At 51.8% G+C, this 15,743-nt stretch overlaps 1 protein-coding gene across 17 annotated transcripts in view; it reads left to right on the top strand.

Moving 5' to 3' along the window:
* Window positions 1-15,743, top strand: part of QTGAL (queuosine-tRNA galactosyltransferase) — a 109,622-nt gene that overhangs the window by 89,561 nt on the left and 4,318 nt on the right. For 12 of the 17 annotated variants that reach the window (XR_007065267.1, XR_002957964.2, XR_002957963.2 and 9 more), the window contains 5 exons: window positions 1,029-1,153; window positions 4,716-4,851; window positions 4,961-5,029; window positions 5,441-5,515; window positions 15,227-15,331. Coding sequence is in view for 8 of the 17 variants with exons in the window: in XM_047435396.1 (XP_047291352.1) it covers window positions 1,029-1,153; window positions 4,716-4,851; window positions 4,961-5,029; window positions 5,441-5,515; window positions 15,227-15,307 (486 nt within the window). In the remaining 9 variants the exon portion in view is untranslated. Of the gene's footprint in view, window positions 1-1,028; window positions 1,154-1,723; window positions 1,852-4,715; window positions 4,852-4,960; window positions 5,030-5,440; window positions 5,516-5,808; window positions 6,025-15,087; window positions 15,332-15,743 lie in introns of those variants that run through there. The other 5 variants (XR_007065266.1, XR_001752429.2, NR_135465.2 and 2 more) reach the window with 4 other exon arrangements.

Genomic DNA, 15,743 nt, shown 5'->3' with positions numbered 1-15,743 from the left:
AGGCCAGCGGTTGGGCCGTGATAGTTTGGGGACTTTACTGACCTGCACTTGAAGTTTGTGTACCAGCCAAGGAGAGAAGAGGCTGGACTTGGTGATAGACTGGCCCTGCTGCTAGGCTCTCAGAAAACCTGCCCTTTCCTGGAGCAAAGGTGTCTCCGGGCGGCTGACCCAGGTGAGCTGCCGCAGAGAACCACGAGGAGACCAGACTCCACGCCCTGCTCCTCCCTCAGTTTTGTTTGAATTTAAGAAAGCGACAGGGGCCCGGCTCCACACAAGGCCCAGAGCCCTGGGCTGAGGATTGGGGTCACCCAGGAGAGGAGCAAGCAGAGGGCAGGGGCCACTGGGATCATGGGCCGGGGAAAGCAGGGCCCAGGTTCTCACAGGACAGAAAAGTCTGGTGGGAATGCCTGCAGAATGTTCTGGAGCAGAGTCCCACTGACATGGAGGGAGTGTTCGGGGATAAGCCCCGTGGGCTGAGGTTCAAGTTTCTGAGCTTGGACAAGTGAGCAGGGCTGGCACAGGCCCGGGGCTGCCTCCCCACTGCTGGGCTCCCCTGCCCGCAGCCCCACACGCCCACCCAGCACCACTGTCCTCTGCCCACAGTCGGCACTTTGAGTCCCTTGAGCTTCTGGGGCTGCAGCCACTGGCAGGAAAGGATGGGGACGGAGGCCGGACCAGCCATCCAGGAGCCGTGGCTGTGAGACCCTGACCCACCCCAGCCCCTTTCCTCGGCTGCCTGTCTTCCTCTTTGCCCTGAGACCTTTACTGCTCAAAATGGAATTTGGGGCAGAACCAAGACCCAGCCCACCCTCCCTTCCCCTCTTTCCCGCCTGTGGAGAAGCTCGGTTGCTCACGTCTGTTGTGGTCGCCGCCCCACGTCCCTGTTGAGCCTCTAGACCGGTTTCTTTGCAACAAAAGCCTTTTCCACCGGTTCCTGGTTGGCCGGCTGAGCGCAGGTGTAGTGTGCATCCGGGGCAGGCACGCGTTTCTGGGGCCCCAGTGATGCCTCTGCTTCTCCCGCCCTGCAGGGCGTCCCGGAGGACCTGCTGTTCTTCTACGAGCACCTCAGGAAGGGCGGCGGCGTCATCCGCGTGGACCAGAGTCTCCTGCTGTATCGCCACCACCCACAGGCGGCCACGCACTGCGTCCTCGAGTGAGTCAGCCCCGCCCGGCCCCGGGACGCCTGAGAGGCCAGGAACACGGGAGGCGCCCGAGGTCGGGGCCGGGGTTGGTGGGGCCGACCCCAGAGGCTGTGGTCAGGCTCTGCCTTGAGACCCAGGGTCTGGTGGGACACGGGGCAACAGCACATCCCGAGGGTGGCGGGGATTCGGCGTCCACGAAGGGGCATTTCCCAAGGGCGCCAGGGAGCGCCAGGGTGAAGGCCGAACGTCCTTCCCTAGTTCCCAGAGGTAAAATGACCACGCGCCGGGTCCTTCTGAAACCCTGTGCTCCCTTTAACCCGACGGGAGTCTCATGAGTGGGGTCCGGCGGGGACCACAGGCCTGGGGGGCGCAGCTGCCGTGGAGGGTGGCAGAGGCACGGCCAGGGAATCGCAGCACCCAGTGAGGACGCGCCCAGTGCTGCGGGGTCCGCCTCCCTCTCCCGTGTCACTGTGAGGAGCGGCCACGTGGGCCCGGGTCTGGGGGTGCCGCGTGGCTGCGTTGGAGCCGTGGCAGGGGTGAGGCAAATCGGGGTGAAACTGCATGTAGAATTCCTTCCTTAGATCCGGGCAGACAGTTCCCTCCTTAGAACTGTGAGGACACAGAGGTCTCGGCCACCTGCCTGCCGCGTGCCGCAGCGTTAAGTTGGAAAGCAGGCCGCCGTCCGAGGCTTGCGTCTCGGCCCCTACGGGTACTCAGGGCCCCCGGAGTCTCAAGACCCCAACTAGGGTCATGTGTGGGTGTGGGAGCCGCGATGGTCCCAGGCCTGCCGTGATGGGGTTGAGACTCTCGGCAAGATCCCAGCTCCCCAGGGGGTCTAAGGTCCAAGGTCACGGGGTGGGGCTGGGGGGTTGGCAGGAGGGCCACGAGCTTCCCCATTGGGGGCATCATCCTCACTCCTGCATGCTGGGGCCTCCCGCGTCCGCGCTCCTCTCCCTTATGCCCACCGGCACCTTGGCCGCCTCCTCATGCGGTGACGTGTCCCTGACACTTCAGCTCCTTTGCAACATTTCCAGAAATGCTGTCTTGTGCTTTTGGGAAAAACTGGGTTTCCACCTTTCCCGGTGCTAAGGCGGGGCCACGGCTTCCTCTGAGGATGTAAAAAGAGAGGCATAGGGCGCCCTGGGGAGCCTGTTCTCCCTGATTAAATGAGAACTTTTTAAAATGTGAAAAATGAAGATGAACCAAATACAGACATCATGGCTGCTTCTACATTTTACCTTCCTACGATGGGCCAACATTTTCAGACCAGAGACCCCTAGGAAAGCCCAGGAGACAAGGGGCCGTCGAGGAGGCCGGTGTCAGAGGCCCCCCAAACCTCGCGTGCCACCCACGGCCACAGAGGCCCCCCGCTTTCTTCTGGAGCCCTGACTGCTTTCCTGTCACGTGAACCCCCTGGGGTCCCTAAGCTGATGTCAGTGGATGAGGAGGATCAGGCTCGTCCCCCCGCCCCGAGACACCCAACACACCCGGGCTGCTAAGGACAAGATGCCAAAACCCGGCGAGGCTGCGTCACCTGGTGGGGAAGTCCCCGCAGCCGTCTGCAGGAGCTGTCCTCACCCAGGTTCTCACACACACACACACACTGCACGTGCACACAGACCACATGTACAGCATGCACACACATACGTGCACGAAAGTATACACACGTACTCACTGCACACGCTCACTGCACACACGCACTCACGTGCACACACACTGCATGTACACACATCTGCACGGTACATGCAGGCATGTGCACTCACTGCATACATGTACTCATACTGCATGCACAGGCCCTCACTGCACACACGTGTACACATGCGTGTACACACATCCACACAGTACATACAGGCATGTACTCCGAACACCTGCACACACTGTACACGTGCTCATGTACACATGCACTCACCACACATGCACACTGTGCACACACAACATACACCCCCACACAGTGTACACACACACCATACACCCCCACACATACACACCATACACCCCCAGTGTACACACACACACACCATACACCCCCACAGTATACACACACACCATACACCCCCACACAGTATACACACACACACACCATACACCCCCACAGTGTACACACACACACATACACCCCCACACAGTATACACACACACACACCATACACCCCCACACAGTATACACACACACACCATACACCCCCAGTGTACACACACACACACACCATACACCCCCAGTGTACACACACACACACCATACACCCCCACACAGTATACACACACACACACATGCTTCAGTGTCCCCAAGTCACTGACTGGGATAAGCATCTCCCTGTGTCCCAGGTGGGGTCCGGACTATTGAGGTGGCTGCAGAGGGTTGGGGAGGAAAAGGTAGACTCCAGGCAGGACCTCCCTGACAGTGCCTAAGCCCTGCAGCTCCCTGAGCTGACAGAGGGGACCCCGTGTCCCCCCATCCCCCCCATCCCATTGCCTGTGGGGGTTCTGCTACAAACAGGGGGTGCCACAGGGTTGGGGGGGAGTCACAAGTTTATCCCGGGAGGCGGAGGCAGCAGCAGAATCGTAGAACAGCGAAATCCTGCCCCGATCCCGAGGCTGAACCCACGAGGGCCCTGCTCAGGGGAGGCCCGTCACCAGCCAGTGTTGGTTGTGTCTGGCCCAGACCCCACCCCGGAGGAGACTCCCACGGACACAGCTCCCTTGACACAGCAGAGGGCATCCCAGGACTCGGCCAGGGCAGGGTCTGTGGGGTACCGGGCTTCAGCGTGGCTACATCGCGGCCATTGGGGAGGACAGCATCTGGGACACATCCCACGCCGTTCTGGCCCCGTTGGCCTCTGCATCCCCTGCCCCTCTAGCTTCTGGCCCGTCCAGCTCCTGGGGCTTTGAGACGGGCTCAGCCCGGGCAGCTCCAGGAGCAGGGTTGAGGGAGAGGCACACACAGGCAGACAGCGATGGGGCACGTGGGGAGGGGCTGCGGTGGGAGGAGAGAGGGCGGGGCTGGGAAGGGCCCGGGCAGCGATGGGGCTGGGCGCTGGGCAGAGCAGCAGGTCATGGGAAGGAGCCTGCTCCCCCCGGGACAGCAGCCTGGGGTCGACTTGTCACAGCAGAGGGAGAACAGAGACCAGGTTCCCAGGGGAGTGGAAGGGTTCGGGGCAGCGACCCTGAGGCAGAAGGTCGTGTCCAAGTGTGAACGCTGGGATTTTATGGGATGGTTGCATGTGTCCTTATGGACAAAGGTTTCTCTGGGAAACTGGACTTGGGTCAAGTCCAGTCCTCTGCGTCCTACAGAAATTCTGCCTTCCAGAACCTTCTAGATTCTTAAGTGACAGCTTCTCATCTGTCCCCACCTGTTGGGGTCTAATGGAAGGGGTGGATCCCCACCTAGGCATGTGGCTACGTCCAGCTGGGGCAGGTGGCCTGACTGTAGGACAGCCAGTCTCTCTTAGGCATTGGGCCAGGTGTCCACTCCACTGGCAACGTGAGCTGAGCACACATCATGTCCCTGTATGTCAGCATCTGTGTGCATCTGTGGGGCCTCCGGCCTGCCTATCACCCTCTTCTCCACCGCAGGACGACCATCTGGACCCACCGCGTCCGCTTCCTGGAAGAGCAGGCCCTGCCCCGCTGGGCGGCCTTCACCATCTGGAACGCTGGCAAGCAGGGGCGCCGGCTGTACCGCAGCTTGACTGCCGGCAGCCAGCGCAAGGTGAGCATCCTGCCACCCTCCAACACTGCCTGCCCTGCCCCCGTACTGTCCCACAGCACAGGCCCTGGCCCCGGCCTGTCCAGAGCTGCCCTTCTGTGCTTGTCCCCAGGTGGTGGCATTCTGTGACGTGGACGAGAACAAGATCAGGAAAGGCTTCTATTGCCACGAGGACTCTCAGGTGTGCAGGGCCGCATGGTGTCACCCTTGGGGTCAACCACCTGCTCCGGGGCTGAGGGACAGCTGCTCCGAGCCTTCCCCCTTGGCAGAGTCCACCTGGGCCGTGCTGGCTCCTCGGGGCCTCCAGGGAGCCCAGCCCCCATTCTTGGGGGGAGAACCCCGCTGTCCCTCGTGGGTCTAGGCCTTGGGGTAGCCCACCCTGGTCAGTTCTGCAGTCGGGTGTCAGGCGGGGGTGGCGGGAGCCGGGTTCCTGCTCTGAACACCTGCCGCAGTCTGTGACCCTGGCACGTTATCTGCTGCCCAAGCCCTGGCTCCTGTGTGAGCCAACTTGGTGGCTGCGTGCACCCTGAGGGCGTCTCTCCGGGGACAAGCTCCAGGCTCGGGCAGGACTGATGGCCACTGTCACTCTCAGGAAAGACCCAAGCCCCGAATCCCCATCCTGCACTTCCGAGCCGCCCGGCCACCCTTCGTCATCTGCGTGAAGCTGGTGAGTGTGGGGCCCTTGGCCGTGGAAGGGCTTGGGGATCCCGGGCTCTGCCACCTGGACAACCCGCCCTGCTGTGCAATGACTGTGTGGCCTGGGATGAGACCCCAGCCGATGGTGGGCATGGGGACAGGTGCCACAGCCGTCCACAACAGCACCACAGACCAGGCTGTGGGGTGGTGGCCGCTGCCCTGGGGGCAGGAGGCAGCTGGAGAGGGTGGCCTGCATGGGTGTGGGGGGGATGGATTCCGGTCTCTCTTCTGTCTTAAAATACCCATAAAGCCAACATTTGTTAGAAACTTGCAAAGCACGAGGCCCTGCGGTGCCATGTCTGAGGGGCCAAGGCCAGGACCTCCAGCTCCCGTGGACTGAGGTGGCTGCATCGGGGATGTCCTCAGCCCCTGAGTGTGAACGACCCTTGCCTGGGGTGGGCAGGTGATGGGTGCCTCGGGCTCCAAATGCAGCCTTTTTCCCCAAGCGTGGGGAGTCCAGGCTGGCTGCGGGGGGCTGAGGTGAGTAGTTTTTTTTTTTAATTTTACTTTAAGTTCTGGGATACATGTGCTGAACATGAAGATTTGTTACATAGGTTTACATGTGCCATGGTGGTTTGCTGCACCTATCAACCCGCCATGTAGGTTTTAAGCCCCGCATGCATTAGGTGTTTGTCCTAATGCCCTCCCTCCCCTTGCCCCCCACCCTCCAACAGGTCCCAGTGTGTGATGTTTCCCTCCCTGTGTCCATGTGTTCTCACTGTTCAACTCCCACTTATGAGTGAGAACATGCGGTGTTTGGTTTTCTGTTCCTGTGTTAGTTTGCTGAGGATGATGGTTTCCAGCTTCATCCATGTCCCTGCAAAGGACATGAACTCATTCCTTTTCATGGCTGCGTAGTATTCCATGGGCTATATGTGCCATGTTTTCTTTATCCCGTGTATCATTGATGGGCATTTGGGTTGATTCCATGTCTTTGCTATTGTGAATGGTGCTGCAGTAAACATATGCGTGCATGTATCTTTATAATAGAATGATTTGTATTCCTTTTGGGTATATACCAATAATGGTATTGCTGGGTCAAATGGCATTTCTGGCTCTAGATCCTTGAGGAATCACCACACTGTCTTCCACAATGGTTGAACTAATTTACATTCCCACCAACAGTGTAAAAGCATCCCTACTTCTCCACAGCCTTGCCAGTATCTGTTGTTTCTTGATTTTTTAGAAATCGCCATTCTGACTGGTGTGAGATGGTATCTCATCATGGTTTTGATTTGCATTTCTCTAACGACCAGTGATATCTCATTGTGGTTTTGATTTGCATTTCTCTAATGACCAGTGATGAGCTTTTTTTCATGTTTCTTGGCCACATGTCTTCTTTTGAGAAGTGTCTGTTCATGTCCTTCGCCCACTTTTTGATGAGGTTTTTTCTTGTAAATTTAAGTCCCTTGTAGATCCTGTATATTAGACCTTTGTCAGATGGACAGATTGCAGAAATTTTCTCCCATTCCAGAGGCTGCCTGTTCACTCTGATGATAGTTTCTTTTGCTGAGCAGAAGCTCCTTAGTTTAATTAGATCCCATTTGTCAATTTTGGCTTCTGTTGCAATTGCTTTTGGTGTTTTAGTCATGAAGTCCTTGCCCATGCCTATGTCCTGAATGGTATTGCCTAGGTTTTCATGTAGGGTATTTATGGTTTTAGGTTTAAGTCTTTAATCCATCTTGAGTTAATTTTTCATAAGCTGTAAGGAAGGGGTCTAGTTTCTGTTTTCTGCATGTGGCTAGCCAGTTTTCCCAGCACCATTTACTAAATAGGGAATCCTTTCCCCATTGCTTGTTTTTGTTAGGTTTGTCGAAGATCAGATGGTTGTAGATGTGTGGTGTTATTTCTGAGGCCTCTGTTCTGTTGCATTGATCTATGTATCTGTTTTGGTACCAGTACCATGCTGTTTTGGTTACTGTAGACTTGGAGAATAGTTTGAAGTCAGGTAGCGTGATGCCTCCAGCTTTGTTCTTTTTGCCTAGGATTGTCTTGGCTATACAGACTCTCTTTTGGTTTCATATGAAATTTAAAGTAGTTTTTTCTGGTTCTGTGAATAAAGTCAATGGCAGCTTGATGGGAATGGGATTGAATCTATAAATTATTTTATGGCCATTTTCATGATATTGATTCTTCCTATCCACGGGCATGGAATTTTTTTTTTCCATTTGTTTGTGTCCTACTTCCCTGAGCAGTGGTTTATAGTTTTTCTTGAAGAGGTCCTTCACATCCCCTATAAGTTGTATTCCTAGGTATTTTATTTTCTTTGTAGCAATTGTGAGAGTTCACTCATGGTTTCAGTCTCTGCTTGTCTATTATTGGTGTATAGGAATGCTCGTGATTTTTGCACATCGATTTTGTATCCTGAGACTTTGCTGAAGTTGCTTATCAGCTTAAGGAGTTTTTGGGCTGAGACAATGGGGTTTTCTAAATATACAATCATGTCATCTGCAAACAGAGACAATTTGACTTCCTCTCTTCATATCTGAATACTCTTTATTTCTTTCTCTTGCCTGATTGCCCTGGCCAGAACTTCCAATACTATGTTGAATAGGAGTGGTGAGAGGCCATCCTTGTCTTGTGCCAGTTTTCAAAGGGAATGCTTCTAGCTTTTGCCCATTCAGTATGATACTGGCTATGGGTTTGTCATAAATAGCTATTATTTTGAGATACGTTCCATCAATACCTAGTGTATTGGGAGTTTTTAGCACTAAGGGTGTTGAATTTTATTGAAGGCCTTTTCTGCATCTGTTGAGATAATCATGTGGTCTTCGTCTTTGGTTCTGTTTATGTGATGGATTATGTTTATTGATTTGCGTATATTGAACCAGCCTTGCATCCCAGGGATGAAGCTGACTTGATCATGGTGGATAAGCTTTTTGATGTGCTGCTGGATTCAGTTTGCCAGTATTTTATTGATGATTTTCACATCAGTGTTCATCAGGGGTATTGGCCTGAAATTTTTTTTGTTGTGTCTCTGCCAGGTTTTGGAATCAGGATGATGCTGGCCTCATGAGTTAGTAGTCCCTTTTTTTCTATTGTTTGGAAGTTTCAGAATGAATGGTACCAGCTCCTCTTTGTACCTCTGGTAGAATTCGGCTGTGAATCCATCTGGTCCTGAGCTTTTCTTGGTTGGTAGGGTATTAATTACTGCCTCAATTTCAGAACTTGTTATTGGTCTTTTCAGGGATTCGACTTCTTCCTGGTTTAGTCTTGGGAGGGTGTATGTGTCCAGGAATTTATCCATTTCGTCTAGATTTTCTAGTTTATTTGCATAGAGGTGTTTATAGTATTCTCTGATGGTAGCTTGTATCTCTGTGGGATCAGTGGTGACAGCCCCTTTATCTTTTTTTATTGTGTCTACTTGATTCTTCTTTTCTTTGCCTGGCTAGTGGTCTATTTTGTTAATCTTTTCAAAAAACCAGTCATTGATTTTTTTGAAGGGATTTTTGTGTCTCTATCTCCTTCAGTTCTGCTCTGATCTTGCTTGTCTTTTGCTAGCTTTTGAATTTGTTTGCTCTTGCTTCTCTAGTTCTTTTAATTGTGATGTCAGGGTGTCGATTTTAGATCTTTCCTGCTTTCTGATGTGGGCATTTAGCACTATAAATTTCCCTCTTAACACTGCTTTAGCTGTGTCCCAGGGATTCTGGTACGTTGTCTCTCTGTTCTCATTGGTTTCAAAGAACTTCGTTATTTCTGCCTTAATTTTGTTATTTACCCAGTAGTCATTCAGGAGCAGGTTGTTCAGTTTCCATGTAGTTCTGCGATTTTGGGTTTCTTAATCCTGAGTTCTAATTCGATTGCACTGTGTTCTGAAAGACTGTTAGGATTTCTGTTCTTTTGCATTTGCTGAGGAGTGTTTCACTTCCAATTATGTGGTTAATTTTAGAGTAAGTGCTGTGTGGTGCTGAGAAGAATGTATATTCTGTTGATTTAGGGTGGAGAGTTCTGTAGATGTCTATTAGGTCCGCTTGGTCCAGAGCTGCGTTCAAGTCCTGAATATCCTTGTTAATTTTCTGTCTCAAATATTGACAGTGGGGTGTTAAAGTCTCCCATTATTATTGTGTGGTTGCCTAAGTCTCTCTGTAGGTCTCTAAGAACTTGTTTTATGAATCTGGGTGCTCCTGTATTAGGTGTGTGTATATTTAGGATAGTTAGCTCTTCTTGTTGCATTGATCCCTTTACCATTAGGTAATGCCCTTTTTTGTCTTTTTTAATCTTCATTGGTTTAAAGTCTGTTTTATCAGAGACTAGGATTGCAACCCCTGCTTTTTTTGCTTTGCATTTTCTTGGTAAATAACCACGGGTGAGTGGTTGATAGAGTGAGCCAGGCCCCAAGCGGTACTGTTGGGGGGTTGTGGGGGACACACAGACATGGGCACCTGTGACAGCTAGAAGCACGCCACACCAGGGCGGGTCACGGTTCCTGCCCCGCAGAAGCCGTGAGGCCAGCGTGTGTTGGTCTACACTGCCCGGCCTGTGATGAGCTGTCACACAACTAATCCAAGTCAAGTCCAGGCAGAACAACGTGAGCAGAGCCTCTTGGGCACAGCTTTCTGGCAACTACTGGCGCACCTCATTTTATTGCACTTCATTGTGCATTTTATAAATTACAGGCGTGTGGCAGCCCCACGAGAGCAACCCCATCAGTGCCCCTCTTCCAGCAGCACGCCCACTCCACGTCTCCACGTCTCCCCATCTCCACGTGTTAATTCTCGCAATATGTCAAACTGTTACTGTATGTGTTACGGTGACCTGTGGTGTCACTACTATCTCGGGGCGCCCATATGAATCAGTGAACTTGATTGATAAAATGCGAATGTTCTGACAGCAGCTGTCGCCTCCCCGCTCCCCCCCACCCCACCCCTCCTCAGGCCTCCCTATTCCCTGAGGCACAACATTGAAATTAGGTTAACTAATAACCCCACAGTGGACTCTAAGTGTTCAAGTGAAAGGAAGAGTCGCACGTCTCTCGCTTTAAATCAAAAGCTAGAAATGTTTAAGCTTAGTGAGGAAGGCATGTCGAAAGCCACGACTGGCAGGAGAGGCCCAGCTTTCAGCCTAACGGTTAGCCAAGTTGTGAATGCAAAGGAAAAGTTATTGAAGGAAATTAAAAGTGGTCCTCCAGTGAACACACAAATGATAGTGCGGATAGGGAGAAAGTGTTAGTGGTCTGACAGATCAAACCAGCCACAACATTCCCTTAAGCCAAAGCCTAATACAGAGCGAGGTCCCAACTCTCTTCAATTCTGTGAAGGCTGAATGATGTGAGGAAGCTGTGAACATAAGTTTGAAGCTAGCAGAGGTTGGCCCACAAGGCTTAAGGAAAGAAGCCGTCTCCGTAATATGAGTGTGAGGTGAGGCAGCAGGCTCTCCAGAAGATCATGCTACGGTCACAATGGAGGTGGCCGCACTCAACCACAGATCTTCAGTGTAGAGGAAGCAACCTTGAACTGGAAGAAGACACCATGCAGGCCTTTCATAGGTAGGGAGAAGTCAATGCCTGGCTTCAGAGCTTCAAAAGACAGTCTGACTCTTTGCCGTGACTTTAAAACCCATCTATGCCTAGTGTTCCATTATTGGAACGCTAAGCATGTGCAAGTTTATATTCTGCTTAAGGTCACTGCCAAGATCTGATTGCAAAAATTCGAAAAATTGCAACCTCAGCCATAAATGGGTTAAGTTGAAGGCAGTGGTCGCCATTCTGAGAATCCTAGGATTCTTAGGAATGAGGCTAAATCTGCTCTGCCTGTGGCTCTAGAAATGGAACGGCAAGGCCCAGGTGGCAGCACATCTGTGCACAGCACGGTTGATGGAATAGTGTAAGCCCACCGTTAGGCCCAGTGCTCAGAAAAGGAGATTCCTTTCAAAATACGACTGCTCATTGACGGTGCACCTGGTCACCCAGGAGCTCTGAGGCTGATGTACGAGGGGTTCGTGTTTTTGTGCTGACACAGCATCCGTTCTGCAGACCGTGGGTCCAGGAGTCATTCCAACTTTCCAGTCTTATTGGAGAAAGACGTTTTCTAAGGCCGTAGCCGCCAAAGATAGTGATTGCTCTGATGGATCTGAGCAAAGTAATGAAAACCTTTGAATAACCGTTGTCCAAGTTACCGGGGACATTTAGGTGAGTAAACGGGAGGCTCCGAGAAGCAGTTATAAAATGCAAATTCTACACGAATCTGGTTTAGTTTTTCAGAAACAGCCTCTTCAGGATCTACTTCTCAGGGACCCCCTCTCCAACCCCGTCAGTGCCGCTCTTCCAGCAGCATGCCCACTCCACGTCTCCTTGTGGTAATTCTCGCAATATGTCAAACTGTTATCGTATGTGTTATGGTGACCTGTGGTGTCACTACTATCTTGGGGCACTCATATGAACCCCAAGGCACTTGGTGAAAACCCTTCCCAGGGAGCCGGCTGAGCATGGGAAAAGAGGTTCCTCCTTGTCCTGCACACGCTGTGTCCTTGGAGGGCCCAGAGCCCCCACGGTCACCTGTCTCTTGCTTGTTCTTCCAGGGGCAGCTGGCAGTGTGGCCTCACAGCACATGCTTGTTCCATCTCTTGCTCTTTTCACGTGTGTAGATTGGAGGTTATTCCGTGTGAAGCCGCTGGAGCCCCCGGGCTCTACTGTTGCTGTGACTTTTCTATTCAGGGAAATTTCCAGCTTATTTGAGCCATATTAGCAAAGTGACAGGAAACCAGCCCTATGTACCCATCCCTGGAGCAAGCGTGTCCATCTTATGTGTCCTCCACACCTCCAAATCCCCACGCTGGTGTTGTGGCACTCATTCTAGCCTAATTTCATCCATTATTATTTCCCTATCTCAAGGAGATAAAAACTGTTAAAAGGACCATAAAACCACCATCCCACCACAGAATTCCAAATATCCCATCGATGTTCAAATCTTCCTAATTGCCTTATAAATTGCTTCATGTTTTAAGTTTGCTTGCTGGAACCCGGCAGCGTCCGTGTGACCTTTACGACATGACCTTTCTGTCTCCCTGACGCCGACGCTCTTTTCTTAGTTCAGCTGAAGAATGGGCTTGTGTATCCTGCACTCTGCCGACCGGTTCCCTGTGGTTTTGCGTGTTCTGCTCCATCCTTTTGAGAGGTGGTCAGACCGAGGCCGCATCAGGCTCCCCTGCAATTCCGTTTGGCGGGAGCAGCTTGCGGGTCTCAGGGCACCTCGGTGGCACTGTTGTTGTGCCTTCCTCCACCGTTAGCTGGAAGAGTAAAGAGAAACCCAAGGTTCACGTTTGTCACTAAAACACCCGCTCTTCGATTATATGGATGTTTCATGCATTTGTGATACAGTTACTTACTGATGTACCTTTTGGCCATTTTTAATCATCTGCTGTTTAAAATGCTGCTGCAGTATTTGTATATATACATAATTTCGCTCAAGTGGCTCTGTGTGGAATAAATTCTAAAAATTTCTGGGTCAAAGAGCACACACATTCAATCCCAGTCTGGCTGTTCACCACCCGCAGCTGCTGTGCCAACCCAACCCACCAGCGATGGAGCACCTGCCTCGTGCCCTTAAAGGGAGGGAAAGCATCTTCTCACATATTTATAAACTGCTTTATTTCCCCTTCAGTAAATTATTATTTTCATTAGCCCATTTTTCTATTGGTCAGTATTTTTCATAAGGAAAACTCTCCGACATGCTGCAAATTTTCCTGCCATTTGATATTTTTGTATTTTTGCCATTGTGATATAATCAAATTAAGTGACTTTCATTTATGGAGTCTGATTCATTCTAAGACAATCACTCCTGGTTGTGAAATTTAAAAAACAACATTGTCCCATTTTGCTTCTGGGATTTCTAGTTTTTAATTACATCTTTGATACAACTGGAATTTCTTTTGATTACAGATGCCAATTTTTCTATTTGGATAATTGTCCCAACATCGTTTACATCACTGCTTTTCCAGGAACGAAATGCCGTCTATGTTGGTTGTGAACGTGCATTTGGCACCTGGCAGGGCCAACCCTCATGGCGTGTGCGTGAACACATCCCTAAACCATAGTCTAATTTATCCTATTTTTGTAGTTCATGTGAGCAGAATCCAGTGTCTGTGTTCTCGCATCTGGTTTTCACTCCACGTGTTTGGGGTGTGTGCGTATCGCTGTGCATGGTGTGGACTTTCTCCACGTCCCGTGTGCAAACGCCACCCCACCCAGAGGCCACGCCAGGACCCAGGCCTGTGGGCAGTGGTTCCCGGTTTGCCCTTGCAAGGACGCTGTGTCCTCCTGCGTGAGCATCCCTGCCTCGGGTCTAATCCTGGGAGTGGAAGGCAGGTCGTGGGTGTGGCTGCATCCTCAGCTTCTCTGGATGATGCCCAGGAACATGCCCAGAGCCAGAGGGCCCAGCTGCTCGGCTCCCTCACACTGGGCTGGGCACTTGGTCGCCAGCCGTTTGGGGAGTGTGTTCTCATGGTGGTTTCAGGTGTGAGTCTGACCAACAACCCCCCGTGCCCGCTGGACACTGGAGTTCCTTCCTCTCTGGCGGTGTTTCTCATCAGGGTTCCCCACCGGCCTACTGCACGCTGCGTCTCTCCTGACCTGTAGGAGTCCCCTACACCTCTGGCTGCTCGACTTTGTTGGTTTAATGTTTTGCAAATGTCTTCCTCCATTTTGTGGTTTGCCTTTTCATTCTCCTAATGGAACATGTTGCTTTACAGAAGCATCTAGTTTTAACAGAGTCTTGTTTAAGACGGTGTCAACACGCACTGGGCTGGCCTGGTCCCTGAACTCAGGTGTGTTTCCTTTGCAAACTCTAGAGCAGAGAGACAAGGGAGGAAGGACAGATAGCGGCAGAGTGTGTGGAAATGTTTTCCAGGAAGGATGGCTTTGAGTGACAGCATCATTTGAGTGACAGCAGTGGTAGGTGGTGTAATGGATTCTGATGTGGTGGGGGTAAGGGGCGCAGCCAAGCTCCGATTCCTCCTGCTGGGCCCAAGGACCAAGGACTGTGACAGGAATGCATAGTCCCTCCTCTGTCCTGCCAGAGGCCAGAGACTTGTGTCCACCACTCTGCCGGGCTGTCTTCAGGAACTTGTTCAGGAGGTGCTGGGGTGCAGGGCACGTCTGAAAGGCATTTCTGGACACCTGCTGTGGCCTCATACAGGAGAGTAGGTGACCTGGCCAAGGCCAGCACACAGGACAAGATTAAGCATCCAGGGACCCGGGGTCACAGCCCTCACTCCATTGCAGGGGTGGGGATGACAGAGGCCAGAGGAGATCAGACAGGGGCAGCTGTTGATGGTTCTGAGATGCAGTTTCTGTCTGAGGGGCCTCCTCCCACTCCTGGCCTGTGCAGAGGGGTGGGTGTGTGGAGGGAAGGTGGGTCTGCCCTGGTCAAACAGCAGAGGCATTGCCTGTTAGTCTCATTCCATTCCGAGTGCCCCCAGGGAGAGTCAGCCACCTTATGTAGAGAGGCAAGGCCAGAAGGCAGGGGGGGCCTCCCCTCTGGTGACCAACAGGGCCTGTGGTACAAGCAGTGCCGGCTGCTGCCCTCTCTGGCCTTTGTCTCCTTCCAGCCTCTCCGCTATTAGCAGAGGAGCAGAACACTTGACAGGTGGACACAGGCCACCCCCAACCCCTGGCCCTGGAGGAGGCTCCACAGTGGCCTCCTAGAGCCAGGAGACCGGACTGAGCTGAATCTGCTGCTCCTGACAGGACCTCACAGGGGGCGCCTTTGAGGACAACCTGAGGTCACTGCACTTGCAGGAGGGCCAGGACTTCCTTCACTTCAGCTGACGGACCCATGGCAGCTGCTCCCAGGTGGGTCTTTTCACCGAAGAACCATCTGGGTTTGTTTCTTTATTATGTTTCATTTCCTTTTCATTCTGCTCTTATTCTAATTTTCTTTACAGTTAGTCCTCTGCTTATGTTCAGCTCATTAATTTCCAGCCTTTCTTCTGTAATGTATAATTCACGACTTCAGAATCGCTTAAGCACCACTTTAGGTGAACTCTATCTGTTTTGATTAACTTTTATCTTTCATTATATATTTTATAATTTTCATTATTTCTTTTAAAGAGATGTTTTTAAAAACATTTTTAAAATTTCTGTGTACACACACACACACACTTGGGTTCTGTAACTGTCCATTGGGTCAAGTTTTTCTCCTTCAACCGTGCCTTATGACACTTTATTGAAATGTACCAATTCAATAAAATACACTATGGTAGTA

This window comes from Homo sapiens, chromosome 17 (genome assembly GCF_000001405.40).
Source record: "Homo sapiens chromosome 17, GRCh38.p14 Primary Assembly".
Lineage (NCBI taxonomy): Eukaryota > Metazoa > Chordata > Mammalia > Primates > Hominidae > Homo > Homo sapiens.
This window is presented reverse-complemented; position numbering and strand designations above follow the sequence as displayed.